The sequence below is a fragment of the Homo sapiens genome, chromosome 2 (assembly GCF_000001405.40).
Source record: "Homo sapiens chromosome 2, GRCh38.p14 Primary Assembly".
NCBI lineage: Eukaryota > Metazoa > Chordata > Mammalia > Primates > Hominidae > Homo > Homo sapiens.
In genome coordinates, this window is record NC_000002.12 from 241,514,267 (window position 1) to 241,527,353 (window position 13,087).

A 13,087-nucleotide genomic window follows, 5' to 3' on the forward strand; every position below is an offset into this window, starting at 1 on the left:
GAAATACATTCAAAATGTAGAGGTGAAACAGTTGTCAACACAGAATTGGTTACCAAGTATAAGAATGTAATAAAGACATTTTCAGATTTGCACTACTTGGGAAAGCAAAAAGTTTACAAGCAAATGTATCAGGTGTCTGTTGCTGCATGACAACTCCAAAACTCAGCGGCTAAAAACAATACTTTGTTTTGCTCAAGAATCTGCAATTTGGACAGGTCTTGATGGGGCACCTCTTTTCTGCTTCACATGTGCCAGCTGGGGCTGGAGGATCCAAGTTGAAGAAAACTCGCTTATGTGGCCACTCGGTCTGTACTGGTTGAAGGCTGGAGCTCATCCAGGGCTGTGAGCCTGGGGCCTCCATTCTTCTCACTGGCTTCTCGAGCTTTCTCACAGTGTGGTAGGCAGGAGAGGGGATGAGAAGGTTGCATTAGTCTGCTCAGGCTGCTATAACAAAATACCAGCCTATGACTATGACAATAGACATTTATTTCTGACGGTTTTGGAGGCTAGGAAGTCTGAGATTAAGATGCTGGCTGATTCAGTTCCTGGTGAGGCCCTCTTCCTGGCTTGCAAATGGCTGCCTTCTCACTGTGTCCTCACATGGCAGACAGAGAGCTCTCTGGTGTCTCTTTTCATGAGGGCCCGATCCTGTTGGATCAGGGATCCACCCTTATGAACTCATTTAACTTGCATTAACTCCTTGTAAGCTTTATCTCCAAATACATTGACGGTTAGGGCTTCAGCATATGAACTTTGGAGTAGAAGAGACACAAATGAGTCTGCAGCAGGAGATTCCAAAGGCTAGCATTCTGGAAGGAAAAGGTGCCAGTGCATGGCTTCGTAATGACCTGGCACAGTGCATGGCTTCGTAATGACCTGGCAGCTGGTTAGCACCACTTCCACCATCGTCATGGCTCACCCAGATTTAAGGGGGGAAAGCATGTAACTCACATTGTGAGACAAACATAGAGGAGGGAGGTAATGTTGAGGCCATCTTTGGAAAACACAAAGATGAGGGAATTATAGCTGTCACAGGCTCAGCAGTAATGTCTTAGGCTTAATAATGTAATTCCCATATGTTGATTTTTAACATTTATAATTATTCTCTATAGAACGTGAAGGTTTTCCACTTTAACCATGTAGAAGTAGAAGTAAGGAAGAAGATAGAAAAATGGCATCTAGAAGTAGGAGAAGAGAAAGGGAAACTGCACTTCAGTCTTAGTTCAGAAAATGTCAGAATCACTTTTAGTTTCAAGCCACCGAGAGCAAAGACAACAATATGAACTGCTGCCTGGCCACAAAAGCTAAGGTTTTTTTGGTGTGAGAAGAAAGCATAGGACACTTCGGTGGGTAAAGAATGTTTTAAAACTCCAAGTCTACGGGACGTTTACATATGTACCATATAATAATTAAGAGTGAGTACAGCAGGGCAAGGTGGCTCATGCCTGTAATTCCAACACTGGGAGGCCGAGGCGGGCGGATCATTTGAGGTCAGGAGTTTGAAACCAGCCTGACCAACATAGTGAAACCCCATCTCTACTAAAAATACAAAAAATTAGCTGGGTATGGTGGCACACGTCTGTGATGTGAGCTACTCAGGAGGCTGAGGCACAAGAATCACTTGAACCCAGGAGGCGGAGGTTGCAGTGAGCTGAGATTGTGTCATTGCACTCCAAACTGGGTGACAGAGCTAGACTACGTCTCGGGAAAAAAAAAAAAAATTAACTGGGCCTGGTGGCGGGCGCCTGTAGTCCCAGCTACTCCGGAAGCTGAAGCGGGAGAATCTTTTGAACCTGGGAGGTGGAGGTTGCAGTGAGCTGAGACTGTGCCACTGCACTCCAGCCTGGGTGACAGAGTGAGACTCCATCTCAAACAACAAACAAAAAAAGATACGTAGATTAATGAAATCAAATTCATTACCAGAAATAGACTTATGATCAATTGATTTTTTAAAAGTATGCCAAGACAATTCAGTTGGGAAATAATTACTTTATTTTAATTGTTTTGTTTTAGCTCTGTTCCAGCCAGTGAACAAAGGGGAAGAGTAATTTTTTCAACAAATGGTGCTGGGATCTTGCAGATACCTGAACATGTGCAAGCTGCTGGAGGGCAGCATGCCCAGGGAGGGCAGATAAGCTCTGTGCTCACACCCCCACAACACACACACAAACACACCCAACACACACACACACCCAACACACACACCCCCAGCACACACACCCCCAACACACGCACACCCCCAACACACGCACACAACACACACACACCCAACACACACCCCCAACACACACCCAACACACACACCCCAACACACACCCAACACACACACCCCAACACACACACATACCCAACACACACACTGAACACACACACAACACATACCCAACACACACACAACTCCAACACACACATACACATACCCAACACGCAACACACATGCACACCCCCAATACACACTCAACACACCCAACACAACACACCCAATACACACAACACACACCCAACACACACACACGCCCAACACATATACCCAACACACATCCCAACACATACACAACATACACACACACCCAACACAAACACACCCCCAACACACACACACCCCCAACAAACACACCCAACACACACCCCGAACACACACCCAACACACACACCCCAAACACACCCCCAACACACACACAAACACACCCAACACACACACACCCAACACACACCCCCAACACACACACCCCACCACACAACGTGCACACCCAACACACACACCCAACACACACCCCCAACACACACACACCCAACACACACACACCCAACACACACCCCCAACACACACACCCCAACACACACACACACCCAACACACATACACATACCCAACACGCAACACACACATGCACACCCCCAATACACACTCAACACACCCAACACAACACACCCAATACACAAAACACACACCCAACACACACAACACCAACACACACACCCCAACACACACATATACCCAACACACACACCTGACATATACACACACCCAACACACACACAAACATACACAACACACACATATACACCCCCAATACACACAACACACGCCCAACACACAAATACACAGCCCCAATACACACATGCCCAACACACACATATACCCAACACACATCCCAATACATACATAATGTACATACGCAACACCCAACACACACCCCAACACATACAACATACACATACCCAACACACACGAAACACACACAAAACACACACACACCAACACACAACACGTAGATACCTCAACACACACAATACACATACCCAACACACAACACGTAGACACCTCAACACACACACAACACACATACCCAACACACACACTAATACACTAATACACACAACACCCCACACCAACACACAAACATACACAACACATACACGTACACACACCCCAACACACAAACCCCAACACACACATCCAACACACACACACACAACTGGATATCCACATGCAAAAGAATGAAGTTAGACCCAATCAACTAAAAACGGATCATGAATTTGAATGTAAGCGCTAAAACTATAAAATAGCTTATTAGATATGACAAATGCACAAGAGACAAAATTTAAAAATAGATTAATTCAAATTCACCAAATTGAAAACTTGTATGCTTCAAAGGACACCATCAAGAAAGTGAAAAGGCAACCTACCAAATGGGAGAAAGTATCTGCAAATCATCTGTCTGATAAGGGACTTGTATCCAAGATATATATTTTAAAAAGTTCTTACAATGCAATAATAAAAATATAAATAACCCAATTTAAAAATGGGCAGGGCTAGGCATGGTGGCTCACACCTCTAACCCCAGCACTTTGGGAAGCTGAGGTGGAAGGATGGCTTGAGCCCGGAAGTGTGAGACCAGCCTGGGCAGCAGAGCAAGATCTCATCTCTACAAATAATTAAGAAAATTAGCCAGGCGTGGTTGTACATGCCTGTGGTCCCAGTTACTCAGGAGGCTGAGGTTAGAGGATCACTTGAGCTTGGAAGGTAGAGGCAGCAGTGAGCCGTGAGCTTGCTCCACTCCAGCGAGGGGAGTAGAGCAAGACCCTGTCTCAAAAAAAAAAAAAAAAAAAAAAAGCAGGGGATATATTAATATTTATATTAAAACGTTGTTTATCTGAAATTAAAATTCCACTGTGTGTTCTGTATTTTACCTAGCACCCTAAAGGAACAATTACCCATCAACTGAAAACTACTCATTCCTGCATAACAAATATTAGACCAAGACCTGAAAAGATCCAACCGTTTCCAAGTAACTTAATTGCATCAAAGAACAAAGCTCAGGAATATTTATAGGAATACAAAAATATGCAGCACCCAACCAAGTAAATTACATGACAATGATAATCTCATGGAAAGTTAGCAGGCATGCAAACAGCAGGAAAATGTTAGCCTTGGTTGGGTGCAGTGGCTCACGCCTGTAATCCCAGCACTTTGGGAGGCCAAGGCAGGCAGATCACGAGGTCAAGAGATCGAGACCATCCTGGCCAACACGGTGAAACCTCGTCTCTACTAAAAATACAAAAATTAGCTGGGTGTGGTGGTGCGCGCCTGTAGTCCCAGCTACTCAGGGGGCTGAGGCAGGAGAATCTCTTGAACCCGGTAGGCGGAGGTTGCAGTGAGCCAAGTTCACAGCACTGCACTCCATCCTGGCAACAGAGCGAGACTCCATCTCAAAATATATATATATTAGCCTTGAGGAGAAAAATCAACCAATCAAAAACAACTCGTAGTTAACACGAATGTTAGAATTAACAGACAAGTATATTAAAAGTTATTATAACTGTATTTTACATATGAGAAAAGTTAAGTAGAAACATGGACCTTATAAAAACGCCCGAAAGTAATTTTCTAGAGTTGAAACTGCAATGTGTGATATGAAAGATACACAGGACGGGATTCACAGCAGACAAGACACCGCAGAGGAAGAGCCTAGTGAGTGTGGCCCTCGCCTGTAATCCCAGCATTCTGGGAGGCCAAGGCGGGAGGAGCATTTGAGGCCAGCAGTTTGGGACCAACCTGGGCAACATAATGAGACCCCATCTCAATAAAAAAAAATTTTTTTAAAAGTTTAGATAATTTGAAAACATAGTGATAGAAATATGCAAAATGAAACAGAAAGAAGAATTACTTTTTTATTTTTATTTTTTGAGACAGAGTTGCGCTCTGTCACCCAGTCTGGAGTGCAATGGCACCATCTCGGCTCACTGCAACCTCCGCCTCCCAGGTTCAAACAAGTCTCTTGCCTCAGCCTCCTGAGTAGCTAGAATTACAGGCGTGTGCCACCACGCCCGGCTAATTTTTGTATTTTTAATAGAGATGGGGTTTCACTATGTTGGTCAGGCTGGTCTCGAAATCCTGATCTCGTGATCCACCCACCTCAGCCTCCCAAAATGTTGGGATTACAGGCGTGAGGCACTGCGCCCGGCAGAAAGAAGAATTTCTATAAACAAAGAGTGCCATTGAGCCATGCGACGATCTAGGATGTGTTCGCATGGAGTGAGTGAAAAACCGCAGGTAGCTGCACTTACTCAGGACATAAACCCTCCCTGGGGAAAAGCAACACATCTGAGCCTCCAGCAGCCCCTCCTGGCCTCAGGCAGAAGGGAGGCTTCAGCCACAGCTGCCTGGACTCTGAGTTTAACTCACGGAGGTTGGTTGCTCCAGGTTCCCTAGTAGAGTAGAGCTAAAATCCAAGTCCCCAGACTGCTGCCTCCTATTCCCACATACTCACTTCTCCCCAGGAAGACGGATGTGTGCGGTAGCGTCAGGCACACGTCCCTGTGTGGCCTTGGGCAAGTTACTTAACCTTTTTGAATTAAAATTTCTTTATTTCTAAATAGGAGTGATAAACGCTTGTGGAGGCTGTTTATTTGGAGTATATGGGGGTAATAATTCAATGAAAAAATGAAGAAAACTTGCTGAAGAAGGCCCCTGCCGGGCATGGTGGCTCATACCTGTAATCCTGGCTACTCAGGAGGCTGACGCGGGAGGACTGCTTGAGGCCAGGGGTTAAAGACCAGCCCTGGGCAACATAGCAAGACCCAGTCTATACAAAAAATTTAAAAAATTAGCCAGGCATGGGGTATGCCTGTAGTCCCAGCTTCTTAGGTGGCTGAGGTGGGAGGATTGCTTGAACCCACAAAATAAAATAAAATAAAAAGACCGGGTATGGTGGCTCATGCCTATGATCCAGCACTTGGGGAGGTCACAGTAAGAGGACTGTTTGAGCCCAGGAGTTTGAGACCAACCTGGGCAACATAAGGAGACCCTGCCTTTACACAAAATTTACAAATTAGCTGGGCATGGTGGCAGCTGCCTGTGGTCCCATTTACTTGTAAGACTGAGGTGGGGGGGATCACTTGAACCCAGGAGGTCGAGGCTGCAGTGAGCTGTGATTTTGCCACTGCACTCCAGCCTGGATGATGGAGAAAGACCCTATCTCGAAAAAAAAAAGTTAAATCAAAAGAAGGGAGGGGCCTCACCCCACTTCCTCCCACAGTCCTGAACTGTGACTGAGGGCAAGGCTCTGAGGTGAGAAAGTCCACTCAACCCTTGTTTCCTCCAGAAACCTTTCCCAGTTAATTTTTATTTTTTTCCAGCTTTATTCAGGTACAATTCAAAATTTAAAACTGTATGTACTTAGGGCATGCAACATGATGATTTGATGCACATACGTACTTTAAAATGATTACCACAATTGAGCTAACATGTTCCTCACCTCACAGAGTTACGTTTGTGTGTGTGTGTGCGTGTGTGTGTGTGTGCGTGGTTAGGATACAAGATCTCTCTTAGCCAATATCAAGTGTACGAGACGTGATTATTCATCTTATAGCTGACAGTTTGTACCCTTCTACCAACGTTTCCCTGTTTATCCTACCTCCCAGGACCTGGTGACTACCCCTTCTGTTCCTTGTTGCCGTGAGTTCACCCTTTTTGCTTTCCGTAATAAGTGAAATAATGCAGTATTTGTCTGTTGATGCCTGGCTTGTTTCACTGGGCACAGTGTCCTCCAGTTTCATCCATGTTGTCTGTCACAAATGACAGGATCATTTCCTTCTTTTTGAAGACTGAATAATATTTGTGTGTGTGTGTATCACATTTTTTGGTTGGTTGGCTTGTTTAAAACAGGGTCTTGCTCTATGGCTCCGGCTGAAGTACAGCGGCATGATCCTAGCTCACTGCAGCTGCAACCTCCAATGCTCAAGCAATCCTCCCACCTCAGCCTCCTGAGCAGCTGGGACCACGGTGCCACCCACGCCCCACTAATTTTTACATTTTTTGTAGGGATGGGGTCTCCCTATGTTGCTGATCGTCCCACCTCGGCCCCCCACTTCCTCCCGTCGGTCCTGTACTGTGACTGAAGGAAAGGCACGGAGGTGAGAAAGCCCACTCAACTCTTGTTTTCTCCAGAAACCTTTCCCAGTTAATCGGGAAAGTGCTGAGATTACAAGCATGAGCCACCAGGCCTAGCCTCTTCTGTGATTCTAAACAATTTTAGGATTTTTTTTCTATTTCGTTGAAGAATGTCATTGGAATTTGGAGAGGAATTGCATGGAATCTATAGATCAATAGTATGAATTATTTCCTTTTTACTATTATTTTCAACTTCTTTTGAGAAGATAATATATGTAGATGTTATAATAGTTAAAAAGTAAGAGAAAGGCCGGGCACGGTGGCTCACGCCTGTAATTGCAACGCTTTGGGAGGCCGAGGCGAGCGGATCATGAGGTCGGCAGATCGAGACCATCCTGGTTAACATGGTGAAACCCCGTCTCTACTAAAAATACAAAAAAATTAGCCGGGTGTGGTGGTGGGCGCCTGTGGTCCCAGCTACTCGGGAGGCTGAGCCAGGAGAATGGCGTGAACCCGGGAGGCAGAGCTTGCAGTGAGCCGAGATCGCGCCCCTGCACTCCAGCCTGGGCGACAGAGCGAGACTCCGTCTCAAAAAAAAAAAAAAGTAAGAGAAGATACTCGGTGAAAACTGAGTTGCCCTCGCACACTACCTGTCTGCAGCTCTCCTCTCTGAGGGACACCACTGCTGGGCCCTCGGGGCCTTTGTGGAGCATCTGTGTGTGGAGAGGCAGACACACCTACGTGTGTATTCTTCTATTTTTATACAAATGGTAGCCGGCTGTGCCCTTCCCTCTGCACCACAACATAGACCTAACTTCCCACAACAGAACAATAGACATCTATAGGATTCTATTCTAAACAAATTAGCACTCAGCCATAATGGAACGTGTCCCTGTGGATGAATATTTAGGGGTCTCCTGACCTTTGCTGTTACCACGAACCCTGAAGTGGCCTCCCCTATGAGAGCATACAGGCACGATTCCTAGAAGGAGAGTTGCTGAGTCAACAGGGACAAGTGTTGAAAATGCTGACACAGGAGACTGCCCTCCATGGGGCTGCACCCTTCTGACACTTCTCCCCACCCCTGGGGTAAGTAACAAACAGCTCAGATTCACTCGCAGGTTGTAAGTGATTCCGCCTTTCAACTCATTTTGTCCACCCCACACCCTGGGAGAAGGGTCTATGATTGTCCCCATTACAGCTGAGGGAGGCTAGCAGCAGCTCAAGGCCACGTTTGTGAAGGTGAGGGGCTAGGGTTGGAACCCAGGAAGCCTGGCTGCAGTGTCCACACGACTGCCTCCTGCTGCTTTTCCATTAACAAACTTTTTTATCCTTGCTAATCTGATATATTTTTTAAAAATAGTTCTCATTGTGGCTTAAAAAAATCATTTAATCCAGGCCAGGTGCGGTGGCTCATGCCTATAATCCCAGTACTTTGGGAGGCCGAGGCAGGCGGATCGCTAGAGGTCAGGAGTTCAAGACCAGCCTGCCCAGCACAGTGAAACCCCATCTCTACTAACAATACGAAAATTAGCAGGGCGTGGTGGCACATGCCTGTAATCTCAGCTACTTGGGAGGCTGAGGCAGGAGAATCGCTTGTACCTGGAGGTGGAGGTTGCAATGAGCCGATAATGCTACTGCACTCCTGCCTGGGCAACAGGGCGAGACTCTGTCTCAAAAAAATAAAAATAAATAAATAATTAAATAATTATTTAATCCATATATATTTCTGTTTACATCTCTAAAAGATAAGGGCTTTAAGGCCAGGCGCGGTGGCTCACGCCTGTAATCCCAGCACTTTGGGAGGCCGAGGCGGGTGGATCACAAGGTCAGGAGATCGAGACCATCCTGGCTAACATGGTGAAACCCCGTCTCTACTAAAAATACAAAAAAATTAGACGGGCGTGGTGGTGGGTGCCTGTAGTCCCAGCTACTCGGGAGGCTGAGGCAGGAGAATAGCGTGAACCTGGGAGGCGGAGTTTGCAGTGAGCCGAGATCGCGCCACTGCACTCTAGCCTGGGAGACAGAGCGAGACTCCGACTCAAAAAATAAATAAATAAATAAATAAATAAATAAAAGATAAGGGCTTTAAAAATATAACTACAATGCCATTATCACACTATTAAAAATTAACAAGAGGGTTTCAATTCCAGGTAAGATGGAGTAAGCAAGTTCCACCTGCCTCTCCTGTGGAATGCAGCTATAAAATCTGGACGCAACTAATGGAGCAGATACTTGAGGTTTCTGAGCAGGAAATAGCAGCAGGTGGATTAGGAAAGACCAGTGATATGGTTTGGCTGTGTCCCCACCCAAATCTCATCTTGAATTGTAGCTCCCATAATTCCCACGTGTTGTGGGAGGGACCTGGTGGGAGATAATTGAATCACGGGGGCGGTTCCTCCCATACTGTTCTCATGGTAACTAGTAAGTCTCACGAGATCTAACGGTTTTATAAAAGGGGGAAACCACTTTTGCTTGGTTCTCATTTTCTCTCTTGCCTGTCACCATGTAAGACATGTCTTTGCCTTCTGCCACGATTGTGAGGCCTCCCCAGCCATGTGGAACTGTGAGTCCATTAAACCTCTTTTTCTTTATAAATTACCCAGTCTCAGATATGTCTTTATCAGCAGTGTGAAAATGGACTAATACAACCAGAATTCAAAGTACCACTGAATGGCTATGAGTTACCCATTGGTTGTCCCCAGATGTCTCTCGGTCTGGACAAGCTATGACAAGACATAGACAAGCTGATTCTAAAATGCATATGGAAAAGCAAAGACACTATAATACTCTAAACAATTTTCAAACAGAAAAATAAAGTTAAATCGTACTCCCCACTTTTAAGCCTTCCTATAAGCAGTGTAGTTTGGGTAAAGGGATATATACACAGGTCATTTGAACAATAGGATCCAGCAGTAGGCCACACACATACAGCTAACTGATTTCTGACAAGGTGCAAAAACAAGTCAACAGAGAGAAGAATAGTCTTTTCAATGAAGGGCGCTGGAACAATTGGACATTCATATACCAAAAAAAGAGGTAATCTCAACTTAAACCACAAGCTTTATACAAAAATTGATATAAATGGGTCATAGGTCTAAATGTAAAAAATATAACATTATAAAATTTTTAGGTGAAAATATCTAAAATCCTTGTGACCTGGGAAAAGAGTTCTTAGATATAATACCAAAGCACAATCCATAGAACCAAAACCATGCTAAAGCTATAAAACTCCCAGAAGAAAACATCAGAAAAAAATCTTTGTGATCTTGGATTTGGTGATGGTTTCTGAAATGTGACACCAAAAGGACAAGCAGCAAAAGAAAAATTAAATTGAACTGCATCAAAATTAAAACTTGTGTACATCAAAGGACACTCTCAAGAGAGTGAAAAGAGAATCCGTGGAAGAAAATGCTTGCAAATTATATATCTGATAAGAGTTTAATATCCAGAATATATAAGGAACTCCTACAACTCAGCAACATCAAACAACTCAATTGAAGAATAGACAACTTTAATAGACATTTTCCCAAAGAAAACATACAAATGGCCAAGAAGCACACAAAAAGATGCCCGCCATCACTAATCATTAGGGAAACAGATCAAAATCCCACTGAGATACCACTTTACACCCATCAGGATGGTTACTATCAAAGAAACATAAAATAACCAGTGTTGGCACAGCTGTGGGAAAATTGGAACCTGTGCACTGTTGGTGGGATTGTAAAATGGTATAGCTGCTGTGGAAAACAGAATGGTGGTTCCTCAAAAAACTAAAAACAGAATTCCCATACATCATAGCTCACTGTGTGTTGCTATAGCAGAATACCTAAGACAGGTGTTGCGGGAATTCAGGGACCCCGAACGGAGGGACCAGCTGGAGCTGCGATAGAGGAACATAAATTGTGAAGATTTCATGGACATTTATCACTTCCCAAATAATACTCTTATAATTTCTTACACCTGTCTTACTTTAATCTCTTAATCCTGTTATCTTCGTAAACTGGGAAAGTACGTCACCTCAGGACCCTGTGATAATTGTGTTAACTGTACAAATTGATTGTAAAATGTGTGTTTGAACAATATGAAATCAGTGCACCTTGAAAAAACAGAATAACAGCGATTTTAGGGAACAAGGGAAGACAACCATAAGGCCTGACTGCCTGCGGGGTCGGGCAAAAAGAGCCATATTTTTCTTCTTGCAGACAGCCTATAAACAGATGTGCAAGTAGGGAAGATATCGCTAAATTCTTTTCCTAGCAAGGAATATTGATATTAATACTCTGGGAAAAGAATTGCATTCCTGGGGGGAGGTCTATAAACGGCCGCTCTGAGAATGTCTGTCCTATGCGGTTGAGATAAGGACTGAGATACGCCCTGGTCTCCTGCAGTACCCTCAGGTTTACTAGGGTAGAGAAAAACCCCACCCTGGTAAATTTGAGGTCAGACCGGTTCTCTGCTCTCGAACCCTGTTTTCTGTTGTTTAAGACGTTTATCAAGATAATACGTGCACCGCTGAACATGGACCCTTATCAGTAGTTCTGTTTTGCCTTGTCCCGTTTCCTCAGAAGCATGCGATCTTTGTTCTGCCTTTTGCCCTTTGAAGCATGTGATCTTTGTTCCTACTCCCTGTTCATACCCCCCCGCCCCGCCTTTTGAAATCCTTAATAAAACCTGCTGGTTTTGTGGCTCAGGCAGGCATCACGGTCCTACCGATATGTGATGTCACCCCCGGCGGCCCAGCTGTAACATTCCTCTCTTTGTACTCTTTCTCTATTTCTCAGACCAGCCGACACTTATGGAAAATAGAACCTACGTTGAAATATTAGGAGCGGGTTCCCCTGATAACTGGGTAATTGATAAGCAATAGATGTTTATTTGACTCATGGTTCTGGAGGCTGAGAGGTCCAAGGGCAGGGCACCAGCATCTGGTGAGGGCCTTCCTGCGTCGTCTGTAGTGGAAGGTGGAAGGGCAAGAGAGAGAGACAGCGAAAGGGCACGAGAGCAAGAGGGGCCGTATTCACTTATAACAAAGCCACTTGTGAGCTAACTGACACACTCACGCGATAACAGCATGAAACCATTCATGGTGGCAGAGTCCTCGTGCCCTAAATGGCTCTTACTAGGCCCCACCTCCCGACACCACTGCATTTTGAGGATTAGGTTTTCAACACATGAACTTTGCTGCACACATTCAAACCGTAGCCCTGTATGATCCAGGAATCCCACTTCTGGGCATATACTCCCCACAAATTAAAAACAGGAGCTTAAAGAGATATTTGTTTTCTTTTCTTTTTCTTTTTTTTTCTTTTTTTTTTTTGAGACAGAGTCTTGCTCTGTCACCCAGGCTGGAGTGCAGTGGCGCGATCTCTGCTCACTGCAGCCTGTGCCTCCTGGGTTCAAGCAGTTGTCCTGCCTCAGCCTCCTGAATAGCTTGGACTACAGGTGCACACCACCATGCCCAGCTAATTTTTGTATTTTTAGTAGAGACAAGGTTTCACCATATTGGCCAGGATGGTCTTGATCTCCTGACCTCGTGATCCACCCACCTCAGCCGGAGTGCAGTGGCACCATCTCAGCTCACTGCAACGTCCGCCTCCTGGGTTCAAGCGATTCTTCTGCCTCAGCCTCCCGAGTAGCTGGGACTACAGGCGCGAGGCCACCATGCCCAGATAATTTTTGTATTTTTAAT

At 45.0% G+C, this 13,087-nt stretch overlaps 1 annotated feature.

Annotated features, from left to right (window-relative positions):
• Nucleotides 6,478-6,702: a silencer, noted in NCBI's record as "fragment chr2:242460159-242460383 (GRCh37/hg19 assembly coordinates)". NCBI's record gives its function as "represses an EF-1alpha promoter that drives an FKBP-Casp9 reporter gene in an ReSE screen in K562 erythroleukemia cells {active_cell/tissue: K562}" and the evidence as "EXISTENCE:reporter gene assay evidence [ECO:0000049][PMID:32094911]".